Below are 27,255 nucleotides of genomic sequence, written 5' to 3'. Positions count from 1 at the left end.
GCACACGTATGTTTATTGCGGCATTATTCACAATAGCAAAGACTTGGAACCAACCAAAATGTCCAACAATGATAGACTGAATTAACAAAATGTGGCACATATACACCATGGAATACTATGCCACCATAAAAAATGATGAGTTCGTGTCCTTTGTAGGGACATGGAGGAAATTGGAAATCATCATTCTCAGTAAACTATCGCAAGAACAAAAAACCAAACACCGCGTATTCTCACTCATAGGTGGGAATTGAACAATGAGAACACATGGACACAGGAAGGGGAACATCACACTCTGGGGACTGTTGTGGGGTGGGGGGAGGGGGGAGGGATAGCATTGGTAGATATACCTAATGCTAGATGACGAGTTAGTGGGTGCAGCACACCAGCATGGCACATGTATACATATGTAACTAACCTGCACATTGTGCACATGTACCCTAAAACTTAAAGTATAATAATAATTAATTAATTTTAAAAAAAGAGAAAAGAAAAATCATAGGCAAATCCTTGCAAATTCTCTAATCCAGGAGTGAAGCTAGGGGAGAGTAAAAACCCATCAAAACTCATTTCTTTTTTAGTTGGTAGTGATACTCAAAATCATAATAAGTATAAATGATGGCTAAAATTTTAGTATTGTGAGAAAGGCAACAGCTTAGCTTTCCATTTCTTTGGGAGTCTGAGTTTTGGCCATTAGTAGAGCACAGTAATGGTAACTATTACCAAGCGTTTACTACGTGGCTGGTACGTTTCAAGTACTTTGCACAGATGATCTCACTTAATCCTAACAGTCACGTGGGCAGGTGCTTTTTAATCCCCATTTTATACGTGAGAAAACTGAGGTTCCAACGACTTAACACACAATTTAAGTAAATGTTGGAATAGGTTACATCTGGTTTAACACCTGGGTTCTGAACCCCAGCCTCTGGTGATAGGAGCTTGTTTGCACCATGAAGAGAATCAAACTACCGCAGCAGAGCCTGCTTGTGTTCCCAGAGAGACAGTGGAAAAGAGAGCACATGGTGTAATCCAATATTCTGAAACTCAGAATTCTGAGCATCTCGGAAAAATGACCTGTAACTGCTTTGGGGAAGGTCAGTCAAACGCTGGAGCAGAATTGCCCAGAGAGTTCCTTCCGTGGGCCAGCCACAGTGGCTCACGCCTATAATCCCAGCACTTTGGGAGGCTGAGGCAGGCAGATCACCTGAGGTCAGGAGTTCAAGACCAGCCTGGCCAACATGGTGAAACCCCCTCTCTACTAAAAATACGAAAATTAGCTGGGCGTGGTGGTGGGCACCTGTAATGGCAGCTATCAGGAGGCTGAGGCAGGGAGAATCGCTTGAACCCGGGAGGCAGAGGTTGCAGTGAGCCGAGATCATGCCATTGCACTCTAGCCTGGGCAGCAGAGTGAGACTCCTTTGCAAAAGAAAAAAAGAAAAAGTTCCCTCAGTGACTGGAAGGAGTGAATGAGAGTACAGAGCACTGCCACCTTGAAACCTCATCGGAAACTGAAACGACCCTCTTCAGAGCTGCAATCATAGTCTAGTGTTCCTATTTGACAGCCAGAATGAGTGGTAAGCAGTTCCTTGAAGTCCATGGATGGTATGAGCAATCCAACACAGCTAGCTGTTCCGTATTGTGGAGCTGACACACCCAGGAAAGCGGCAGTTTTTCAAATGTTGGGCCTCCTGTGTCATTTATCAATGTATTGCCTCTCAGCTCAAGATGTACCCTTTAACATACGCTCTGTGATAAGCAACAAGATTCCTTTAAGTATTTCTCCTTTAAAGTCAGTAATACAATGAAAAGGTATATCTTACTTACTATATACATGTATACACATGCATATATGTATATAATGAGCTGAAAATGTGAAGCTTTTTCGGTAGAGGGCACAGGAGGGTCACTGCAGGAGGAAGTCTGCTGCTGCCTCCGGGGTGGTTCAGGAGTTGGTGTGAGTGTGATGGCTTTTGGTGGAACCTGCCCCAGCCTCAGGCCCTGAGTGTCATCCCTCTGCAAGCTTGCAGCCTTGGTGTAGCAATGACCTTTCTGCAGTGGTCTCAAATGAAAACCAGAGCCCTCACTGCCTGTGCGCTCTTAAGAGCTCCTGCCCCTGCTGGCCCTGGACTCCCACAGCATGTCCAGGCCACCAGGCCTGATGGCCCGCTCCCCAGCTTGCACACTGGAGAGTGCCCTGATTTACCCAGCAACTCCAGATGAGCTCCATGTCAACCATCTCTGCTGTCTACTAGGCTGAACCTCACCTAAACTAGGGGAACTCTTTCAAATTTGTCCTTCCTTGAATGCTCTCCCTCAGTCCCAAGGAACCATATAAAGACTTCCTTCTCTCCTTTTTTTTTTTTTTTGTTTGTTTTGAAACAGGGTCTCACCCTGTTGCCCAGGCTCAAGTGCAGTGGTACAATCATAGCTCACTGCAGCCTTGACCTCCCAGGCTCAAGTGATCCTCCCATCTCAGCCCTCCCCCAACCCTACCCCATAGCTAGGACTATGGGCACGCGCCACCATGCCCAGCTAATCTTTTTAAAACGTTTTTTTGTAGAGACGGGGTTTCACTATGTTTCCTGGGCTGGTTTCAAATTCCTGGGCTCAAGCAGTCCTCCCACCTTGACCTCCCAGAGCGCTAGGATTATAGGTGTGCGACACCACAGCCAGCCTTTCCTCATATCTTACAGTCTCATAAATTCCTCCATTTAATGATTGGACCTAAACGGCTACACGTTCCACAGGCCACCAACCTGAACCAAATTACGCTATTGTGGTGGGAAATTGGATAATGAAACTAAATGTCACTAGATATGAACCAAAATGGAAAGAGAATTGCCTGCAATGCTGAATAGGAAAATTCATGCTGCGCTCACTGAGGGTGTGGGGTGCGGTATTAATGGAGAGTCCTGAGGACGGGACCCATAACGGGGGTAAGGATGGAGTCTGGCATAAGTTTATGATACGAGTTTTAAAAAAGGATGTTGGTGGAAGAATCCTAGCAGGATAATGGCCCAACATAATACTGGCAAGTGAGATACAGACTGGCTCACTTTCTTTGTGCCAGGAGGAGAGGATATGGAAACTGTCATAAACAGGGAAAATACAGAAATCATTTACTATATGTGTAACTTTTGCCGTATTTTGTTGTTTTTGTTAAAATGGACATTTTCATAATAAGTGGAAAATTTAGACATCATTACTCAGGTCTTATGGCCGTGGTACCCAATCATAATCTGGGGCCTTTTGCCAACATAAGGTTTAGAATCAAGGTACAAAGCAGTTCCTTTAAAGTTGACACTGAAAACGTGAAGCTACATTCAAAACACTGCAAGGAAAGCCAATGACAGCTTTCTCGTCTTTCAGATGACCCTGTCTTTATCTGTTTTGGCCAGATGCAAAATCAAATAAGAAGTTTATAAGGTAAATGGGCAACAGCCCCAAGCTTAAAAGCTGAGGCCTATCCTTTGATAGAATCATGAAATTGAATCAAAGCCTGTGCCTATGCTCTAGAGGAGTGACATTTTCTGCACTAACTAAAGTGCAAATAGCTCGGAGGAAACAGCATGGAGTGTGTCAAACAGGAGTCCCCACCCTCCATGGGTCTGACATGCTGAGAGGCACTGCTGTTGGACAAGGTGAGCCAAAGTCAATTGCTGGAGGTTTTCTCTTCTTTATTATTTTTGTTCTATTTTTGGCTTTATAGGTGACTTTAGGAACAGATTCTCTTTAATCTCAATTTAGTTTGTATAAGATACTTATTTGTTATCAAGGAGAGGCATTGGTGGTTGTAAACTAGGATGTCTCAAAAAAAAAAAAAAGTTAGCGTACCACACCCTAGCTTAAAACTTCTTTGTCCACCCATCCCCTCCAGGATAACAGTAGAAACTCCTTAACAACATGCAATGCCCTCCACAATCTAGTCCTTGGCTGTCTTTCTGTTTTATCTCCTGCCATTGCAGCTGTGCACTTTACAGCCTAGAAAAGCTAAAGTCCTATAGTTCCCCTCCAAGCTTCTTGGGGCTTCCATGGCCTGGTTTAGGGTGTACCCTTGTGCAAAATGCTTTCCCTCCATCTGTCTATGGCCTACCCAGTGGTGCGCTGTTTAGTGTTTAACAACTGACTCTAGCGGAGAAAAAAGGTTGATGTGTAGAGTTTGCCTCTGAGGTATAAATATTCATACCACTGCTGACTTCAAGCTACAAATCTGGTCACTGAATGCAGAAATGGGAAAAAATGTGTTGGATCTCGCAAGCCAGTATAAGTGGCTTCAGGCCACCTTCGACTCCACCTCTCCTTTAAGATTCCACTGAGGCATCAACTCCTCCTCCTCCCTGGTTACAATCTTCTCTGGCTCCGAGCCTCTACTGGGTGCTCCCATGGCCCCCTGTGCATTTCTCTGCCATTGCACTTTAGTACACTAACTAAATATGTTTGTTTCTCTCTCTGGTTCTTCCTCGTATTCACCTCCATGGCATCACATTTTTTCCTCTGTGATTTTGGCACCCAGCACTGTGCCTGGCACATAGTTGTCACCTGATATGTTTATTGAATGAAGAAGCAGAGCTCCTCATGGTCAAAATGATGTAATTTTTTCTTCTTCAGCTACATTATATTGTCTGGTGTTCTTAGAAGTAAGCCTAACCCTAACAACTTATTGGAATGGCTCATCTGGACTTACAATAAATTAAGCTGTTGTATGTTTGGCTGGGTGAGTTTGGCTGGGATGGGAAATGGTGGGAGAGCTGGTTTATCCTGTTGGGGTTTTTTGGGGACAAAGGATCCCCAGTGCAGATTTCATTGCAGAGTAACGCCAATAATTACAATGCATTTTAACCTCCTTGGTTTTCATTTTCTAATACCATGTCATCATGTGGGCAGGTGAGGACCTTGCAGTTGACTTTGCACTTTCTATCTGAACTTCAGGTTTACAAAGTTTAAAACTTTCCCATAGGTTTTCTAGTTCTCTGTGCTTGGCCCAAGCCCTTCCAGCAACTGCCAGGTGCAGTCACATGGAAAGTGTGACTTAGGAAGGCACGCTGGCATTAGCAAGAAAACTCAGATTCAAAAATAACCATGACTTCACATCTTACAGTGCATATCATAGAACTGTAGAATTTTAAAGGTGAGGCTGACCCACTAGTGAAGCCACTTACCTCAGGAACAAATTTCCTAGTGTGCAGTTATGCTTGGTAGGCAGCTGCTCTCCTAGCCTTGGCACTAAAGGCCCTCCATTTCTCAACCTTAACCTTTTAATTACTACAATGGCTTCACCACAGTGTGTGGCACTCTCAGGGTGCAATTGGGCCACAATTGGCTAATTGTAACAATTATAGCGAAAAAGGAATACAGTTGGCTCATTGTGGCATTTTACTCAGGGTAATCACCTTTTCTGCTTCCTAATTCCTAATTTATTTTTTCTACCCCCAATTAAAAATCAGAACTCCCTTTTACAGCTTTTCTGTTTACAGTGAAAGACAATTAAGTCCTCAGTACCAGAAGCCTAAATCTACCCTGAGATCTAATGCTCACTTTGCAGCACCCAGATCTCTAATTGGTGGATCCTCTGGATTTATCCCAGGACATTTAGAGACTCGGCCTTTTGTTAACACAGACTTCAGGGTTAATGTTTGGAAGACGCTGTCCAGCTTCACATTGCTGTAGAGCAGACATTCTTGATGTTTGTCATGCATCAGAACCACCCAGGATACTTAAAAAAAAAAAAAATATATATATATATATATATAGCTGCCTATCCCACCCCCATTCTGAATCAGGTGGTCTGCGGTGCAGCCAGGGTGAATCTTACACGCAGCTGGGCTTGGCGAGTTCCGCTAAGGGGTTCCTAGATTGGCTGCTACCCTCTGCTTTGCTCTCTCTCCTAGCTAGCCATCCCTGTGGCACTACATCCGATTCCTTCTGTTCCCTTCTTGGCCTAAACCAGACTCTCTTTTCTTCCTCTCTATCAGTTTTCATCTCGAAAGGATTGGCTGGGGGTTCTAATTTCCCTTTTTTCATGACTCAAGGAGTCAGACATTTCTTTCAGATTCACATCTTTCCCCTTATCTATCATCAACACCAACATCCATTCAAAATGGGCATAAGTAAAAATTCCGTTTGTGTCTCAACTCACATCTGAAATAGATGATTACTGTGACTAAATTGAGATATTCAAGGAACATTCACTGAGTACATAGGACACACCAGTTCCTGGGCTAGCCTTGGGGTTATAAAGATGAATAAGAATGGTTGGCTCCTGCTTTCAAGGAGCATAATGGTGAAAAGGAAAACAACCAATAATTATAAAGCACCATGACAGGGAAGGAGAGTTGCCACTGGAATGCTTAGAAGCAGCATTATCACACTGTTGGTTTTTAAGCACGATTTCTTCCTTGGAAACTGAGGAAGACAATCTGATTCTAACAGAAACTGCCATAATCAATCCAAACCATGGATCTTTTCCTCATTTTCAGAAATCTTTGCAGTAATTGAACTGGTGGAGTAAAAGGAGAAGAAATATTTTAAATGGATTAGGAAGATTTTTTTTTTTTTTGAGATGGAGTCTCGCTCTGTTGCCCAGGCCGGAGGGCAGTGGCGCAATCTCAGCTCACTGCAAGCTCTGCCTCCTGGGTTCACGCCATTCTCCTGCCTCAGCCTCACGAGTAGCTGGGACTACAGGCGCTCACCACCAGGCCCAGCTAATTTTTGGTATTTTTAGTAGAGATGGGGTTTCACCGTGTTAGCCAGGATGGTCTTGATCTCCTGACCTCATGATCTGCCCTCCTCGGCCTCCCAAAGTGCTGGGATTACAGGCGTGAGCCACTGTGCCCGGCCAGGAAGATTCTTGAAATACTCGAAATACTCGTTTGCCTTTTTAGGCAAGTGCACAGATGAATTCCAAAAGATTATTTTATTCCAGTTATATAAGCATATCACCATGACTTGGTGACCATTGATATGTGAGAAATAGCACATTGGAAGACACAGTATTTTGATCTTCTGCCTCTGTGAATGTATTTGTTAAGGTAGCATAGGCAAACCACGTGTTGGGAAAAGTTATTTGCAATATATGCATCTGATAAAGGACTGAAATTCAGAATATATAAAACTACAATAAGAAAAAGACAACTTAATAAAAAACGGGGAGTGGACTTTAACGAGTTTGCTAAAGAGGGTATCCAAATATCTAACAAGTATATGAAAAGCTGCTCAACATCTTTACTCATTAAGGAAAATGCTAAATAAAATCACAATGAAATGCCACTTCATACTCACCAGAATGTCTAAAATTAGAAAAACTGACAATATCAAGTATTGGCAAGCATATGAAGCAACTGGAATTCTACATTATTTGTGAGATTGTAAATTGGTGCAACTCTTTGGAAAACTGGCAAAATCCATTAACGCTAAATTTGTAACAACTCTGACCCAGCAGTTCCTCTTCTGTGTGCATACCTGTGCCAGATCCTGATTTATGGTCTCTCAACAATGACTTGACCCTTTCTGACTGCTCTGTGAGCCTTTAAAATATTTTTAAGGCTGGGCACGGTGGCTCACGCCTGTAATCCCAGCACTTTGGGAGGCCGAGGCAGGTGGATCACGAAGTGAAGAGATCGAGACCATCCTGGCCAATGTGGTGAAACCTCATCTCTACTAAAAATACAAAAAGGGTAGCTGGGTGTGGTGGCGAGCACCTGTAGTCCCAGCTACTCGAGAGGCTGAGGCAGAAGAATCACTTGAACCCGGGAGGCGGAGGTTACAGTGAGCTGAGATTGCACCAGTGCACTCCAGCCTGGGTGACACAGCGAGACTCTGTCTCAAAAAAAAAAAAAAATATATATATATATATACATATATATATATATATATATAATATTTTCTTTGCCAGTTGGTACTGAAGCTTGGTCAGGTGAGGTTGCTGATGAGACATTGCAGGAGAAGAGTTTTGCTTCCTGGTTCCGCTGTGCTTACTCCCCAGGCTCCTGCAAGGTGCTCCTCTAGCATCCAGCTCCTGCAGCACCTGCAGCCTCGGCCGTGCACAGCTCCTAAAATACACATGGCTTCTCCAGCAACTGCAGCATGTGCAGCCTCTCCAGCAGCCAGCTCCTGTAGCACTTGGGGCTTCTCCAGTTCTCAGCTCCTGCAGTGCATGGCAGCCAGCAGCATCCAGTGGCTTATAGCTTCTCTGGGTTACTCTTTCAGTCAGTTTTGTAGTAAGTGTCTCAGGTACAACAATGCCCTCTGAAGAGCTGTCTCTGGCACCCTAGATGATGAATTTCCAGAAACTTCCAGAGGGCTATTCCAGAAGATTCCACCAGTACAGCACTATAGTGACTTCTCTATTATTCGGCGAACAATGGCTATGCACTCTCCAATAAGATCTTTGCAGTAATTGAACTGGCGGAGTAAAAGGAGAACAAATATTTTAAATGGATTAGGCCTGAGGCAGGGGTTGGAGGTGGGTCTTTCTTGAGAGTTCTCTCTCATCCCTAGGGCTGGTAATTGCTCCTTATCTCTGTTCTTCCTGCATTCTTTAGCTTTCTCTTTCTTACTAGCCAATCCCTTGTTATTCCTGTTATAAACATTTGTTATATTAAACTTTTCCTATTCAAGTTATTACATAGTTTTGCTCTTCTGATTGGACTGATACAATACCCAAGAAAAATGTATGTGTCCACCAAAAGACATGTCCAAGAATGTTCATAGAATCTTTATTCATAATAGCCCCAAACTAGAAACTACCCAAATGTCCATCAACAGCAGAATGGATACATTGCTGTATATTCATACAGTGGAATACTACTCAGCAATACAAAGGATGGAACTACTTGTTGATAAATCTCATAGACAGTATTAGGTGAAAGAAGCCAGATACAAAAGGGTATATACTGTAAGACTTCATGTATACAAAGAGATACAATTTGAGAAGAGATATAACAACTCTATGTCAATGGACGTCAGAATAGTGGTTACATCTAGGGACAGGGATGTATATTGACTAAGAAGGGACACAAGGGATCTTTTTGGATTATTTGATGTTGTGTTTTGATCAAAGGTTGTTACATAGGTATATATTTATGCAAAAAGGTCATCAATTTGTGTATTTTATATTATGTCCTAATTTTAGAACTAAAACTTCAGAAAGTAACATAAATTAAAAGTCACAGAAAAGAGCTTCAGGTACAGAGCTGTGTAGACTAGAGCTGCCCTAACAGATTCCCTTGGTCCTTTCCATCTCAACGACATGAATATGGTACTTTACAACCTCCCTGAGGCCAATGACTGCAAAGGGGTCTCTGTAGAGTTCAGGGGGAAATGCTGAGGGAGGCAGTAAGAAACTGAGTGATTTTTCTCATGCACATAGCACAGTTGGTGCTGGAAATGGAAATGCCTCAGCCTTCTACCCTAAGCCAGTGTACTTTCTGCACATCATGAGACCTTTCAGAAGGCTTCTTTCTAAAGATGGTTGAGATGGGTAATGGAGTGTTTTATAGACTATGGCAGAGAGTTTCATACGAGGAAAGCCAACAGAATGATTTTTGAAATAAAATCCTGTCGCAGTTGGTTGGCACTGACACGAATTTTTTAAAATAATGTCTTCCTGACTGCAGTGAGAAAGACTGCAGGGGAGTTGGTGGAAGGGGGAACATGTGCCAATCTGGGGGCTGTATGAAATTGTTTCACTTCAAAACAGAGCAGAAATATGAGAAATCAAAATAGTTTATCCCCTGTTCCCTGCCTTCCTACTCTTCTTGGGCAGGATTCAAAGGAGAAAAAGCTCAGCAAAAAAGCAATCTCCAGGGACTGGTATTGGGATTAGCAACTGCCAGGAAGACAAATAATTCTCACCTTAGAAATCCTGGTTGTTCTTCCTGAACACGTGAGAAAACGGGCTCCCTGTGCTTGCATAGAAAAGTGAAGATTTCTCGAGCTTGGGGTAAGATTCTCAGCCCTGGGCATCACTGCAAGGGAACCATGTAGTTCCTGCTTACTCTGCAGTTTTTACCCCGAGACTGAAGGAGTTCGCTCAGGACCCAGCCTATCAATCTATTGATTTGGGGAGAGGAGAGAGTAAAAGTCATTTATCCTTTCTCTGTAATCCTTTAACTGTACTTTTCTCTTGACGTTTGTTCCAGTTGTTAATTTATTGCCTTGCAGCTCCAAACCGTCCTTTTTGTCTTGCTTTGTGATCCTGAAGCTAGAATCTGCACATTACCGCATTACCGGCTCTTCTTTGACCGGCGGGTTTGGGTTTGGTGTATGGCGCGGGGAGGGGGGGGATTGTCTGCCAATAGAGGGCGCTGCAGGGAGCCTGCAAAGCTGAAAGGAAGGGAGGGGTCACTTTCTTTCCGTTTCTCACACAAATATGAGCAAATTGGAGTGTGGAGGGTCTCAGGAGCGTTCATTTCAGTGGTGACAGTTCTCAGGGTGCTGTGACGAGCACCCTCTGGCAGCCTGTTTCTTCTTTCCTGCAGTAGCCACGCCCTCGCTTCCAGAGTCTTTCCTTACTTACCTTTCCCTCAGTCAAGGGTGGTAGCAGCCTTCTGTAATTTCTACCTCAATTATATCTTAAACTTTTCCTTTATGCTTTTTAGGAGTTAATCATCCTTTGTCTGGTTATCAGTTCTTTATACTGGATTTCCCCTGTTTAAATTACTAATGAATCCCAGTGAAGAAAAGCCTGGGACCCAATGGCTTCACTGCTGAATTCTACCAAACATTTAAAGAACCACTAATACCAATCCTACTCAAACTAATGCAAAAAATAGAGAAGGAGTGTACTTCCAAACTCGTTCTAAGAGGCCAGTATTACTCTGATACTAAAACCAGACAAAGATACATTTTTAAAAAACCACAAAACACTACAGGCCAATACCTATGAATATTGCTGCAAAAATCCTCAACAAAATAATAGCAAACCAAATTCAACAATATATTAGAAAAATCATTTGTCATGACCAAGTGGGATTTATCCCTGGGATGCAAGGATTGTTCAACATACACAAATCAATCAATATGATACATCAACAGAATGAAGGATAAAAACCATATCATTTCAATTGATGCTGAAAAATTATTTGATAAAATTCAACATGCCTTCACGATAAAAGTCCTCAAAATACTGGAGATAAAATATACCTCAACATAAAAAAAGCCACGTGACAGACCAACAGCTATATTATATTAAATGGGGAAAAACAAAACCTTTTCTCTAAGATCTGGAACATGACAAGGATGCCCACTTTCATCACTGTTATTCAACGTCATACTGGAAGTCCTAGCTAGAGCAATCGGATAAAGAAAGGGCATCCAAATTGGAAAGACAAAAGTCAAACTATCCTTGTTTGCAGATGATGTGATCTTTTATTTGGAAAAACCTAAAGACTTCACAAAAAAAAAACTATTAAAACTGATAAATTCAGTAAAGCTGTAGGATACAAAATCAACATACAAAATGCCAACAATGAACAATCTGAAAAAGTAATTTTCTTTTCTTTTTTTTTTTTGAGACAGAATCTCTGTCGCCCATGCTGGAGTACAGTGACGCAATCTCAGCTCACTGCAATCTCTGCCTCCTGGGTTTAAACAATTCTTGTGCCTCAGCCTCCTGAGTAGCTGGGATTACAGGTATGTGCCACCACACCTGGCTAATTTTTTTGCATTTGTAGTGGAGACAAGGTTTCACCATGTTAGCCAGGCTGGTCTTGAACTCCTGACCTCAGGTGATCTGCCTACCTTGGCCTCCCAAAGTGCTGGGATTGCAAGCATGAGCCACTGTGCCGGGCCCCCATTTTCAGTAGTCACAAAATTAAATATCTAGGAATTAACCAAAGAAGTGAAAGATCTTTATAATGAAAACTGTAAAACACTGATGAAAGAAATTGAGGAGGACACCCCAAAATAGAAAAATATTCAATGTTCATGGATAGGAATAATCAATATTGTTAAAATGTCCATACTACCCAAAGCAGTGTACAGATTTAATTTAATCTCTATCAAAATACCAATGACATTCTTCACAGAAATAGAAATAAACTAAAATTTATATGGAACCACAAAAGACCCATGGCCAAAGCCATCCTAAGCAAAAAAAAAAAAACAAAACTACAGGAATCACATTACCTAAGTAACCAAAAGAGCATGGTACTTGCATAAAAACAGACACATAGTCCAGTGAAACAGAATAGAGAACCCAGAAACAAATTCAGACACCTACAGTGAACTTATTTTCAACAAGGGTGCCAAGAACATATACTGGGAAAAAGTCAGTCTCTTCAATAAATGGTGCTAAGAAAACTGGATATCCATATGCAGAAGAATGAAACTAGACCCCTATCTCTCACCATATACAAAACTCAAATCAAAATGGATTAGACATTTAAATCTAAGATCCCAAGTATGAAACTACTACAAAGAAACATTGAAGAAACTCTCCAGGACATTGGTCTGGGCAAAAGTTTCTTGAGTAATACTCCACAAGCACTTGAGTGATACTCCACAAGCACTTGAGTAATACTCCACAAGCACAGGCAACCAAAGCAAAAATGGACAAATAGGATCACATCAAGTTAAAAAGCTTCTGTACTGCAAAGGACACAACAAAAAGACAACCCACAGAATGGGAGAAAATATTTGCAAGTTACCTATCTGACAAGGGGTTAATATCAGAATATAAAAGGAGCTCAAACAACTCTATAGGAAAAAAATCTAATCCAATTTTCAAATGGGCAAAAGATCTGAATAGACATTTCTCAAAAGACGCACAAATGGCAGACAGGCATATGAAAAGGTGCTCGACATCACTGATCATCAGAGAAATGCAAATCGAAACTACAATGAGATGTCATCTCACCCCAGTTAAAATGGCTTATATCCAAAAGACAGGCAATAACAAATGCTGGCAAAGATACGGAGAAAAGCAAACCCTTGTACCCTGTTGGTGGGAATGTAAATTAGTACAACCACTATGAAGAACAGTTTGGAGATTCCTCAAAAAACTAAAAACAGAGCTACCATAGGATCCAGCAATCCCACTGCTGGGTATATACCCAAAAGAAAGGAAATTACTATATCAAAGAGAGATATCTGCACTGTCATGTTTTTTGAAGCACTGTTCACAATAGCCAAGATTTTGGAAGCAACCTATGAGTCCATCAACAGATGAATGGATAAAATGTGGTACTTACATACAATGGAGTACTATTCAGCCATAGTAAAGGATAAGATCCTGTCATTTCCAACAGCATGAATGTAACTGGAGATCATTATATTAAATGAAATAAGCCAGTCACAGAAAGATAAACATTGCATGTTCTCACTTATTTGTGGGATCTGAAAATCAAAACAATTGAACTCATGGAGATAGAGTGTAGAAGGATGGTTACCAGAGGCTGGGAAGGGTAGTGTTTGGGATGGAGATCAGGGGGTGGGGATGGTTAATGGGTACAATAAAAATAGAAAGAATGAATAAGACCTACTATTTGATAATACAACAGGGTGACTATAGTCAATAATAATTTAATCATACATTTAAAAAATCTGAAAGAGTGTAATCGGATTGTTTGTAACACAAAGGATAAATGCTTGGGATGGGTACCCCATTCTCCATTATGTGATTATCACATGTTGCATACCTATATCAAAACATCTCATGTACTCCATAAATACATACACCTACTATATACCCCTAAATTAAAAACTTAAAAAATTAAAAAAATTACAAATGGTACTTGTCTCTTACCTTACCTAGTCCCTACCAGATACAATGCTTGGCATGTCTAACTTGCTCTTGCTTGCTTGTTCGTGTGTCCCATGGCCCCTCAAGGACCTTCTGTGCTTTTGGCTCCCAGGGAAGCAGCCTTCCAGCTGGGATATGCTAGATTGGGTGTATCTCAGAGAATTAATTTCCATATCCCAGACTTCCACATGTACTCTTTCCTAATAAGATTGGCCTCAGAACATGCCTGCAGGGAGATATCATGAGAAACATTCTTTTTTCCCATCTTGCTTTCTGTGTTCAAAAAAAAAGTATACCTCTCCTGATTTTATGCTGCATTGTCTAAAGTTGTCATATTTATGTTGTTCTGAATAATTTCTTCATAATTTTAATGATAAGCCAATCCAGAAGAAAAATTTTAACATCTAAAGTCTTAAGATTATAGCAAATTAAAAAAATTAATTTGACTAATATTATTACTACACAGAATTATAATAGAATGATAACATATTTTTAAGCGTGAGGTCCCTTAAAAATGAGGTAATATTGGGGAAATGAAATGGAAATATGAGTTCAAGGAAAAAAGTTCTATTAAAAGATCATTCATGTATTTTAAAATTTTAGATGATAAATATATCATTTCTATCTATATTCCTTTGGATAATGGAAAAATATAATTGGTATCTATATTCCTTTGGCCATATAGAAATGCATTCATTAACATTTTGTTGTAAAGTGTCAATATTGACTACGTGCCATAATTACATCTTTGCAACTATTTTAACACGGGAAGGGAAACTTGAAGTCTCATCTGAAAAAGGTTCAAGAGGATATGTAGGTTTCTAAAATTGTTTTAGGAGATATGAGAGTAAACAATGTTGCCTCGCTATGATAAACCATAGATGAATAATGACTAGATGAATGAATAAGCAAACCAGCAACTGAAAGCAAGAAATCCCTTCTAGGGTAAATACAACTGAAAGCAAGAAATCCCTTCTAGGGTAAATGAAACCAATATGGGTTGCATGACGTTTATCCAATGCCTTCATGTCTTTGCATCTCAATTGCTCATCTGTAAAAAGGAGATGGTGATAACTGTTTGTGAGCCTTAGATGAGGTCATGCATGTAAATGTGCTTTGCACCTGGCAGGTCCTCAGTAAGTGTTTGCCGAAGTACTAGGTGGCAATGCAATTTGGGTATATCCATCTCTTCCTGTCCTAAGGGATGCTGGTCAGTGTACCAGAAGTAAAACAAATTGGCTTCTATGGCTGCACACCAGGACAGGTCTTGATTACATGAAGGACCTTACTAAACACCCTTCCATCCTAACAAAAATATGTGGAGCATTTGACCATTGCACAGGGATGAGTTCCCACTTTACTCCCACAAATGTGATTTGTGTCAGCTTTGCCCTACAAATGATGTGTTTGTGGACATTCCATCTTTGGAATCTATTAAAACAGTCATTGTCAAGTATTTATTTAGAGTCAATAGAACTACTATGTATTATATAAAATATAAAACACAGGCAGCATGCTTCATGCCAAAGTGGTTACTGAATCTACTCTTTTATAAATATACAATATTGACTGATCTTCCAACCAACTGAATTACAAGCTGACCAGTACACACACAAGAAGTCATTTCTTTATAACAGTTGATGACAGGCCTCTGTCACCAAACTGTATTGGAAGTTGGCCTGGCATTTAATAAGCAATGGTGACCAATTAAGGAAGTGAAATGCTTGTGCAAAGTGCCTAATATAATAAGGTTTTTGCCCATTACTGAGACATCAGTGATGTCCCAGAAGAGAAAGTGACTCTGGTTACAAAGTGGAACCAGGCCATGCTAAATTAGAGCTGCTTCTATACTAAGGCTACCAGTCATCTTTAACATCAAGAGTGCTCACTGAGCTCTTCAGACATTTACCCTAAAACAAGAGATGAATTTTAAAATGAGTCTTTTGATGCTCTCTGGAGAGCAAACCCTTAAGCTATATTCCTATAAAAATTAAGAATCTCATTCCAGACCCCAATTAAACTAAAAAATATTGTAGAGAGAGACAGAAAAATCAAGTTTCTACAATGTGCCAGCCACTGGCTAAGTGTTTTCCCAGATACTGTCTCATTACTCTTCACAGCACCATTGTGGGGTGGGCAGCATTCCTTCCATTTCACAGATGAAAATACTGAGGTTCAGGGAGGGTTCAACTTGGGACCAGGCTTGAGTCGTTTACCTGAAACAAAACCCACATTCTTTCCCCTTCACCTTATTAACTCTAATCTTGGCTGAAAAAAGTGAGTGCTCAGAAAAATAAGGGTTATAGAAGTGAGATTAGCATTCATATTCCAATGGAAGTGTCCATCAGAGTGGTTCTAAATCTTGGCTACGCATTGGAATTGCCAGTATTCCAGGGTTTGCACAACTTGCTTGTAAGAAATCTTAGGGCAGTGTTTATCAACCTATAGCAGGCTTCAGAACCACCTGGAGGTTTGTTAAAACAGATTTTTGGGCCCTGTCCCCAAAGTTCCCGATTCTGTCTTTCTGGGGTTGGCCTAAGAATCTGTATTTCTAACAAATTTCCTGTGGCTCCAGGTTGGGGACCTCACTTTGTGAACCACTGGCATAGGGCATTGTCTTGCAAAGCGCAGTCCTGTCCCAGAGTATCCAGGTTGGAATTAGGGACTCAAATGCAGGTTCTTGGCCCTGGCCCAAATCTATAGGATCAGATCTCAGAGGGTAGGGACCGGGGATCTGCCTCATAAACAAGTGTTCCAGATGATTCTTTCACTTGCAGAAGCATGAGAACTGTCATCCAATGGGTCTTTGAACTCCTTCATCTCATATACAGCCCAGCTTTTAAATACTGTCACATTTTGAACGACAACTGCACAGCAGAACTGCATTTACAGTTGACCATTAGCTGCTGCTGTGACTTGCTTCTGGTTATTTAAAATGCCCACAAGGGATCTCTTAGCCCATGCTTCATAAATAAAGCCCAAAGAAGAAATATTTATTCATTCATTTTTTTAAAAACTCTCCAGTTGTCAAGTTTCCGACTCATCAGGGGGAAAGACTGATTAGTGGTTGTTTCATGCTTCCCCACACAAGTGAAATCAGGAGGAGAAAAGCATTCTATAAAAGAGCTTATTTCCCTTCCTCTTCGCCTCTCCTGCCTCCTCATTTACCCTTAGCTATTCAGTTTCATCAGCCCTTGTGAGAATATAGCTCTGACTTTGAGTTTAAAGGGGTTGGGCTGCTTGGAGAGCAGTGCCCTCCCTGCTGCTCTTGCATCTGGGAAGCTGGATCACCACGGGGACTTCCCCCAAGCCGGAAAAGGTCGACCAAATCCCCATTCAGAGGTGGAGGGCGGGAAGCCAGGCCCAGGCTCGGATGTACCCTGAAGAGGTGCAGGTGCTTCCCGCTGGCCTCCGCCCCTCAGCTGTGGGCTCCCAAGTGAAGCTGGCTGCCAAGAGGAGTATTTATAGCTGCCTTTGCTGGCCAGTTCCTGCCCGGTTCTCACAAGGCTGCCGGCAGATCCCAGCACGACTGGCTGACAAGACGAGGGGAGGATGGGAGGCCCAAAGGGGCATGGCCCAGCTGTCCTCCCTGAAGAGTTGCAGATGTCAGTCCCCTTGATCTGAAGTTAGAAATACAATGCGGTTTACAGGAGGAAGACATGAAGGTCATGTGAAGAGATTTCTCGCTGTTCTTCCACGGCTCCAAATCTGCTGTTGGCCCAAGAGAACCCACCACAAAGAGGTCTGTGCTGTCATCTGCAGAGCTGATTTGTAATTACTCTGCTCATAATGCAGAAAAGTCTAGAAGCTCCCTCAGCCCCTGTTCCCAATGCCAACCCTGCCCAAAGGCCCTTTAAACTGAAACCGGCATCATTGTCCAAATTCTTCAGGTGAACCTGTCTTTAGAAACAATGGCCCTTTCTCTTTCTCATCCTCTCACTTAGGCCTCTGGGTTAGAGAAGACGACTGATCTAACAGCTCTCCTTGTGCCACGCGGACAGACCCAGAGCTCGCTCTGGTGACAGCAAATGCACACCTTGTGGGGGTGTCCAATTGTTGGCTTAGTGGGTCTCCAAACTCACGAAATAGAATACTGGGGAGCCCATGAAATACCTGATTGGTTTTTCACATGGGTAGGCTCCATACAGAGCACAGCTCATCAGCTAAAACCTCCAAGGTGAAATCATTAAATCTCCAGGGGAAAACCAACAAAACAGCAAGTGTTCCGGAAAGGGTTTCACTTCCTAACTGGCAGCGAGCCTGAGATCAAAACCTGTTACTCAGTGACAGATGAAATTCCTGCAAGAGGCACAATCCATGCTATTGTTCTGTCTGAGGCCCTTATTTCTCCCAGGGTTGCTGCGAGTGGCCAAGGCAGAGGCTCCCGGGCAGCCGATGGGACATTTTCTCCATGGGTTTGAGTAGTGTGTCTGCAAAGAGTCCATGGTCCCTGGAATCCCCATGATGGGTATAATTTCAGAAAATTCATTTCTGAAAGCAGAAAGGAATTTATATTTTCTTTTTACTTTTTTTTTTTAAAACAGGGAAACAGGCAAAATAGAAGGACGCATAGTTAGAGGTGATTGAAGTCAGGGTAACGGCTAGAGCCAGGCAAACAAGAATAGTCCTCACCAATCCTGCTCACGCCCTCTCAAGCTGCCTTGCACAGTGCTGTGTGCTTTCCATATGTTATCTCATTTAGTCCTCACAATAGCCCAATGAGGGAGGTACAGGTACCCTCACTCCTTTGCAGCAGAGGAAACTGAGGCCTAGAGACGTTAAAGGTCTTGCTCTTTGTCCTAGGATGAGGATGGCAGATTTGGAATTCAAACCCACTCCCTCTGCAGGGATCCTTTAACTAAAGCCCTGAGCGTGACTCTGTGGAGAGACAGGCCCACTGGCTCTGGGCTTCTCCAAGAACTCATCAGGCTGTGGTGGTCTCTGGCTTCCTTATATCACACAGATGTGGAGAAACCAGGGCAGTGGGACTCAGCACCCCCTGAGGGTCAGTTTATGGGGACAGCCTCTTGGGCTGGACATCACCTTCAGCTGGACCTCAGCTCCTTCTCTGGCCCAGAGCTTGTTCAATTGGGTGATTTTTGTGGCACTTTATGTAGGTCAAAGTCCTGGTGGCTCCAGCCGAGTGGAAGTGTTTTTGCCTGGCTCTTAGGTGATGGGGCAGGAGGGAGCTGAATGCAGAAAAAGGAGCTGGCATGTGCCAGCTACCATGACAGCCAGCAATGCTGTGCTGTTGTCCTGCCATCCACGTGCAGTTTCCTTTCTCCGATGACTCCTGGTGGGAGGAACTGACTATGTACAGTGTGCAAAGGGCATAGCAGTGGCGGAAGTTATGTTTCTTGTAATTGGAGATCTTTGTGGTCTGGAATGATCATTTTGTGTGTTTTCTCATCAGATAGGATAGATTGCTTTAACGTTCAGCCACACCCAGAGACAGCTTTTCCTTCCTGGACTACCCATGGTCTTTCATTTTACAAGTTGCTTAGATGAGATTTTCACTTACGTCTTCCTTGTTTACTGTTATAGCTCTAAGGTCCAGCACAGTTCCTGGCATACAATGGGTGCTTAATTAATACCTATTGAAGTGATTGATTAAATGAATTCCTGAATAAGTGAATCAGTTACCAATTAATCTTGGGTCCTTGATTCCAGAACATACCAAAGAACATGATACTAGGATTTTCTCTGGGTCTTTAAAAAGGAATGTCACTTTTCTTGTTGTTGGGAAGCATGTCAGTTTGGGTCCTGCAAGAAGCAGATGGTAGAACAGAGTTGTTCCAGGAGATTTATTGTGGTAAACACCTGCGAAAGATGAGGAGGAAGCAGGATTAGGAAAGGAAGATCACTATGCAGATCTGACACTGGCAAACATGGGAAAGACAGGCAGGAGCGAGTGGGAGGGAAGGAAGGAGCCTCAGACTGAAGCACACTGGCTGTCCCCAGGGCGTGCTGGAGCTGCTGGAGCCATCAGCTTTTTTGATTGCCAGGGAAGGGGGTAGGGGTGAGCCTGGTGTGACAATGGTTGTTGCTATTTCTTCTCCAAGTGATGTCTTCTCATCCTGTGTTCCTTCCATCCAGGGGGCAAATGTGTCTCCATCACTCCTATTTCTTTCTGGGAGCACTGCCAAGTCCTCCTCATTGTCATGGCGGCAACCCAGGACACCCTGCCTCTCTCAGCCTTGCCTCATTTTCTCTTTTTAACCCCTTTCTCAATGTCTCAAACTCAGCAAGCCCAAAGTCACTGCAATGTGTTCTTTCCCCTGAAAATGTTCTAAGATTCCAACTCTGTCAAAGGCATCGTCAGGTCCTTTGTCAGATCAGCACCCAGCATTCCTTTACACCCTCCCCCGCAGTTCCTCTGCTGACAGCTCAGCCACTCCACCATCCCCACCTCCAACCCCAGGTATTTGGGAAAGAGCTCTTCAAGACTTGACTCCTGTCCTTGAGGCCCAACTTGCAGGCCAGGCCTGCCGTCAGGGCCTAATAGGACAGGTACACAACATCCTGGTTTTAGCCAAAGAGAGTATCCGGTTTTTAGTGGCTGAGTAAACAGCCCAGATGAGGAGGCCACTGTTATTAGCTGGGAGAAACACGTTTGTCGTCTTGACTTCTTGCATCTGGCAGTTGGTGTGCTGTGTAAAGAATCATGTTTACTTAATGTCAGTCACTTTCCCTTGAAAACTGCTGGTTCCAACTCAGAACCTTTCAGTCCTGGGCTATGAATATGAAGCTGTGTGGTAGGCACTTCCGCTCACTGCAGTCTTTTTACCCATCATTGTTGCAATGAGCACCATTGCCCTCTTCATCACTCATTCATTCATTTGGGTTTTATTCATTCCACAAGTACTTACAGAGAACATTTACCCAGAAAGGGCCATATGGGAAGTGGGTAGGAGCATAGGAGCATGGACTATCCAGCCAAATCCCAGGGTGGCCAAATCCCACCCAAATCCCATGGTCTAGAATTTGGGACCTGCTGACTAAAGAAAGAAAAGTCAAGCTTTTAAAGAATTAAAGCTAGTTTTATTCAAAAGTCTTACTGAGGCCTGTAGGCCAGGAGCACATCTGTCAGACTGCTCCAAAGCAGTATTTCAGTTCACAGTTTATATACAGGTGGTGAAGCCGCAGTATGTGCAAATTCACATCACAGTTGGGGTGTAAGAGTACGTCTGGTTATAGATTACTAAAAAACATTTGGTTATACATTGTAGAAGCATAACCACTAACCCCATCAGACATTATTTTATGTGTAGGAAAAGGCAAGGACTAGGGCCATTTATTTTAAGGAATACAGTGACTCAGGCAAGAGATGTGGGGGGCCATGTGTTCTATCCTGTTTTGTCTTCAAAGCATCTTTTGGAGAGCGGTACAGAGTCAGGGGCTTGTGAAATTATGCTGGCAAACAGAAATGAGCAAACTTCGCTTCTTACATTTGCGACTTTGTCTCACAGACTGTAATTGAATTACTTTACCTCTTCCCCATCTCAATTTTCTCATCTGTAAATGGGGGTAATTAGAATGTTCAACACAGAGGTTAATGAGGATTAAAATAGTTCAACAGTGCCTGGCGCATGGTAAGGGCAACTGAAGGGATACAGAGTCAGGAAATTGAATCCATGCTCTCAAGGAAGTCCAATAGGGTGGGAAAGAATGATGCATAAACAATCTGACACAGGCTGCTGTGAGCTGTGGCCAGGGTAAACCTAGAATTTATCCAACCTGGGACACTTGAGATAGGAAGGGAATACTAAAATAATACAAATTATGGAGTTTTTGAAACTAGGAATTGACTAACAAATTAATTCCAGCATAGTGGTAAATTATAAATAGTTACATTAAAAATATAAAAATAAAACTCTTTTTAAAGATAGAAAATAACATTTTCTATTTAGAAAAAAATTTTTATTAAAAATATTTTAATGTCAAATATACTAAATATTAAAATATACAATTTAAATAAATTTTAATATATAATTTAACATATATTTTAATATTCTACTTTTTAAAATAGAATATTAAAGCACAATTTTTAAATGAATAATTTTAAATTAAGAAAATATAAGTGGAATAATTATTAGTATATAGTCACATAGTATAATCAGTTTCTTAGTCATATCTACCTGTAATGCAGTATGTCACTAGCATATTTGAAGAATGTTATTTCAGTGTCTTTTGCTTTTAATTTTTCTATTTTTTAAATTCCTTTTCTAAGCCACATTCTGAAAACAAGCTTTTAATTTTTTAAATAAAACTGTCTGCCATATTATTTTTGTAATTTGTGATTAATAAACTTGAAATTGACCTTTTTTGTGGTCCAAAATATTTTTAGTTGAGAAAATACTCTCTCTACAGATGCTGAATTATTTAGTAAGCTAAGAGCAAATGCGGCTAAATGGGGAGTATTCTCAATTTTAACATTTTTATATTGAATTGTGTTAATATTTCAGCCTGAATAACTTTACAGGGTATGTATTTGGCCCCCATTTATCTTTATTCAACAAATATTTTTACAAGATACCCCATCAGATATTACAAAATACAGCTTGTCAAATAATTTCTACCTAAGATTATTCTTTTGAATGTTTCACCCAAGTTAAATGTTGTAAAATTGAAGGACTTTTAATTATATTCCATTTCAGTACAGAATAGAAATTGATCCAATTAAAAGTAGAAACTTCATCAAAAGATCCTTCCCACAAGTCAAGGTAGCATATACCTCTGAGCTCCCACAGTTTAATTTGTTAATTTCCCCCCTCGATCTGGTAGAAACAATTTCAAATTGTCCCTAAGTAAGCTCGTTTTAGATAATTGTAATTCATAAAAAGCTCCACAACCTGAAATTTTTGTACTCCATTTATTGAATAATTTATCAAAATATTCCAATTAATTTTCATCAAAATGCAACCAACATTTAAAGAATTATTTCAAAAGGCGTAGGCTGATTTGCCAAGTAGTTATTTAAAGGCTCAAATGTTTCTAAAATCAGATTACTGATGAGCAACAGAAAATGTGTACGCCCAAGCTGAAGTTTCTATTGTTATTGTTGATGCATGAGGTTTTTTCATTTGATTGATACTGGTGTTTTATTGGGGTGTAGAGGGTGGTTGGATACTTCATATAAGCTCTGCCACAAGAATTTCATACTATAGTTACCTTATATGTAGAAATATTTGTAATTTTTGATGATGATAGTTTCTATTTCCTTTAGTGGAATATCAATCACAGTGGATTGGACACATTTATGAATTATGTGCCCACAATCACTTCCAAGTTCTGGTCTGTTACTTTATGAATTTAGTAAGAACATTATTTTTCCATGAACCTGTGCTCCCCCAAAATTTTGTATTCCTATTACTACTATAAAAACATGTCTTCAATATTGACCTTTTGAACAATATGGAACTTTTGAACTGAATTTATAGCAGCAGTCCCAACAATGTCAGACGTTTTACCTGAGAATAAGCTTCCAAAAGTTTTACTTTGATTTCATGACTTGTATGAAAAAAAAAAAATCTTCATTGGAACTAGCTGATAATCTGAAGTATCAGGATTCTAATAGCAAAGGGCTTCATACAGCTATGTGGCAGCTCTTTTGCTAATGTAGCCATCACATGTGCAGGTATCAGTTCACTTTTTGTATGTACGGACTTGGAATAAGAATAGTCAAAATTAATTTAAAGAATTATTGTTTGATCTAGATGAAAAGTCATGCTTCACAGGATGATATGTAAACACACCTTCTGCAGCTGCACAAGTGAAACTGTTTAGGGGCACGGCATTCTTAAAACAGTTCTGATGTGTGAGGTAGAAGCTGGTGCTTCTTTAGTAGATTAGGGTCTGGTTTTCACGTGGTTAGTGATATCACCAGGACCCCCCATGTTGGATAGTAAATGTCATCAAACATTTACTATCATTTACAAGTTACATATTGGCCAGATTTCTTATTACATGGAAATTCAGTACTTAGTTTTTCATTTAACATGCACTTTTTTTTGTTTTATTCAGCTGCTGCTGAAAACATTTATTACCAAATAAAAATGTCACCAAATAATAAAATAGTTGAGATTTTATCCCATTTTATAAATGAAGGAGAGTATTCAGTTTTCTCATTATACACTTATCACAGGGCTTTTAATTCCCACATACTTTACACAGGCACCAAATGTATCATTTCTTTTCATTTTCTAGGCTATACTGACTGGAAGCCTGGTAGCTTTGTGCAACTTTCAGGCCACTAAACTGGCCAAGACACAACTGGTAGGCACACCAAATTTCTGGCAGGAGCAGCAGTGTGGAATCCATTTCCCACCACCTTCCAAGACTAGGAGTTATATATACTTCATTTTATCAGCAGCCAGCCCTTCAAAGGGAAATGTTAGCTCTCACATGTTTCAGCTTCATCTAGAAAATCTCAATAAAAAAGACAAGTTATTGCTGATCATCTTTCAGATTTAAGCATGCATGAAAGTGAGAACCTTGTTCCCTGCTCATACATCTTACATACTTGCAGACCAGACCATGGTAGAAGCTGGAAGTACAAAGTGGACATCTACCAAACTTACTCCAATTATTTTAATGCAATCTTCACTAACAGTATTATGTAGAAAAATAAAACATGTGGGACAAGTGCGAAAAACTGCATAGGACACCAAGCATATACTGGAAGTATTTCAGGAGAAGCAGTGCGTATGACTTTGTTGGCCATGGGAGAGCTCAGGATGCTGTTCCTTGGGAAGGGAACCCAACAACAACAAGGGAAGAAAACGTGGGGGAGTTTCTCGGGACAGGAAATACCTGAGCAGAACCTTAAAAGATGGGTTGAAAATTGTCAGGTAAAGTAAAAACCTTCTGCACAGCAAAAGAAACGATCGACAAAATGAAAAAGAAACCTATGGAATGGAAGAAAGTATTTGCAAATCATATACACTGATAAAGGGTTCATGTCCAATGTATGTTAGAGTGTGCCTACAACTCAATAATGAAATAACAAAATCTGATTAAAAAATGAGCAAAGAAAATGAATAGACGTTTTCCCAAAAAGATGTACACTTGACCAATAGATATATGAAAATATGCTCAATAATCACGTCACTAATTATCAGAGTTACGCAAATTAAAACCACAGTGAGATATTACCTCATGCTAGTTAGGATGGGTATTACCAAAAAAGCAAATAAGAAGTGTTGGCAAGGATGTGGAGAAGAGAAAAACCTTTTACACTGTTGATGGAAATGTAAATTAATACAGCCATCATGGAAAACTGCATAGAGGTTCCTCAGGATTTAAAAAGCAGGACTGTCATATGATCCAGCAATTCTACTTCTGTGTACATATCCAAAGGAAATGAAATCAGTATGTCCAAGAGATATCTGCACTTCTTCCATGTTCATTGCTACATTACTTAAAATAGCCAAGACATAAAAGCAACCTAAATGTCCATTGACAGATGAATGGATAACGAAAATGTATATACCCACAATGGAATATTATTCAGTCTTAAGAAAGAAGGAAATCCCGCCATATGTGACAACATGGATGAACCTGGAAGACATTATGCTAAGTGAAGTAAGCCAGACACAGAAAGACAACTACTGCATGATACCACTTGTTTGAGGAATCTAAAATAGTCAAACTCATAGAAACAGAGAATAGAATGGTGGTTATTAGGAACGAGGGAGAGGAGGAAATGGAGAGGTACTAGTGGGTATAAAGTTTCAGTTATGCGAGATGAATAGGTTCTAGGGATTTGTACAGCACAGTGCCTATAGTTTATAATGTATACTTTAAAATTAGCTTGTGAATTTAAGTTCCTTATAGATACTGGGTATTAGACCTTGTCAGCTATACAGTTTGCAAAAATTTTCTCCCATTCTGTATGTTGTCTGTTCACTGTGTTGATAGTTTCCTTTGCTGTGCAGAAGCTGTTTAATTAGATCCCATTTGTCAATTTTTGCTTTTGTTGCAATTGCTTTTGTTGTCTTCATCATGAAATCTTTGCCCCAGAAATACCATTTGACCCAGAAATCCCATTACTGGGTATAGACCCAAATGAATATAAATCGTTCTATTATAAAGACACATGCACCTGTATGTTCACTGCAGCACTGTTCACAATAGTAAAAACACAGGAACAACCTAAATGCCTGTCAGTGATAGACTAGATAAAGAAAATGTGGTACGTATACACCATGGAATACTATGCAGTCTTAAAAAGGAATGAGAGCATGTCCTTTACAGGGACATGAATGGAGCTGGAGGCCATTATCTTAGTAAACTAACACAGGAACAGAAAACCAAATACCACATGTTCTCACTTGTAAGTGGGAGCTAAATGATGAGAACACATGGACACGAGGAGGGGAAAAACGGACACTGGGGCCTATTGGAGGGTGGAGGGTGGGAGGAGGAAGAGGACCAGGAAAAATAATACATAGTAGGCTTAATACCTGGGTGATGAAATAATCTGCATAACAAGTTTACCTATATGACAAACCTGCACATGTGACCGTGAACTTAAATTTAAAAAAATGGCTAAGGGATAGATTTTTAGTGTTCTCATGACACACACACACAAATAAATGATGATGGGAGAAATCTTTTTGATGTGATGGATGTTTATGGCACAGATTGTGGTGATGGTTTCATGGATGTATACTTATCTCCAAACTCACCAAGTTGTACACATTACATATGTACAGCTTTTTGTATGTCAATACTTTAATAAAGTTGATTTTTTTAAAAAAGTATGAAAAGTGGAAAAAAATGATTTCTCTGTATAAGCCTTTTATTTATCTAATTTAATTCTCACCAAAAAACCCTACGGCTGGATAATATTATTACTCTCATTTTACACAGTAGGAACAAGGCTTAGAGATGTTAAGGAATTTGCCTGAGTTCAGCCACCTAAGGATTGGTGAGGCTGGAATTCAACACAAGTCTGCACCTCCAGAGTCCGGGCATGCCAGGCGGGTCCACCAGACCGTGTTCTGCCCACGCAGTGGCTCAGCTTGAGAGATGGCAGGTACATTAGGAAACTGCAAGTCATTCTGGCAGAAGCAGGAGTAGGGTGGAGCTGATAAAGGATGCTACTGCAGGCAGATGGAGGCCAGGCTAACTTGAATTGAGTCTTATATCACACCTGCTGGTCTCCATGAAGCCCATCCAGGTGAGAGCAACCTACGCTCACTTCTCTCTTTACCTCTCTGCCCACGGTGCGTATCGTGCACAGGTGAGCTTTAGATGTGGCTAAATAAATACAATTGAGTGCTTTACTGAATACTGTCTTGTCTCAGTTTCTCACGATTTTATGTGTATGCATTTGGTCTCTCAAGCAAATTTTAAGATTCTTTAAGGTGGAGACTGATGTTACTATAGACTTCTTAATAACCACCCCCCTTGGTGCTGAGCCTACAGAAAATGTTCAGAAAAAATTTACTGATGGAGGGTTGTCAATAAATGGCTTTTGGATTAGATTCTACTTATTTTTCTAAAATCTCAAG

General features: G+C 40.9%; 1 protein-coding gene across 5 annotated transcripts in view, besides 2 other annotated features; it reads left to right on the top strand.

Annotated features, from left to right (window-relative positions):
* STEAP1B (STEAP family member 1B) overlaps positions 1 to 27,255 on the top strand; it is an 80,745-nt gene that overhangs the window by 37,489 nt on the left and 16,001 nt on the right. Inside the window, exon 5 of one of the 5 annotated variants that reach the window (NM_001164460.2) lies at positions 23,945 to 24,281. The exons of the other annotated variants lie outside the window; for them this stretch is intronic. Coding sequence (NP_001157932.1) covers positions 23,945 to 24,211 — 267 coding nt within the window. The 3' untranslated portion in view covers positions 24,212 to 24,281. Of the gene's footprint in view, positions 1 to 23,944; positions 24,282 to 27,255 lie in introns of those variants that run through there. 5 annotated transcript variants of the gene reach the window in all.
* Positions 14,555 to 14,624: an enhancer, noted in NCBI's record as "active region_25708". NCBI's record gives its function as "activates an Ori minimal core promoter by ATAC-STARR-seq in GM12878 lymphoblastoid cells {active_cell/tissue: GM12878}" and the evidence as "EXISTENCE:reporter gene assay evidence [ECO:0000049][PMID:35858748]".
* Positions 14,635 to 14,684: an enhancer, noted in NCBI's record as "active region_25707". NCBI's record gives its function as "activates an Ori minimal core promoter by ATAC-STARR-seq in GM12878 lymphoblastoid cells {active_cell/tissue: GM12878}" and the evidence as "EXISTENCE:reporter gene assay evidence [ECO:0000049][PMID:35858748]".

This window comes from Homo sapiens, chromosome 7, assembly GCF_000001405.40.
Source record: "Homo sapiens chromosome 7, GRCh38.p14 Primary Assembly".
Lineage (NCBI taxonomy): Eukaryota > Metazoa > Chordata > Mammalia > Primates > Hominidae > Homo > Homo sapiens.
This window is presented reverse-complemented; position numbering and strand designations above follow the sequence as displayed.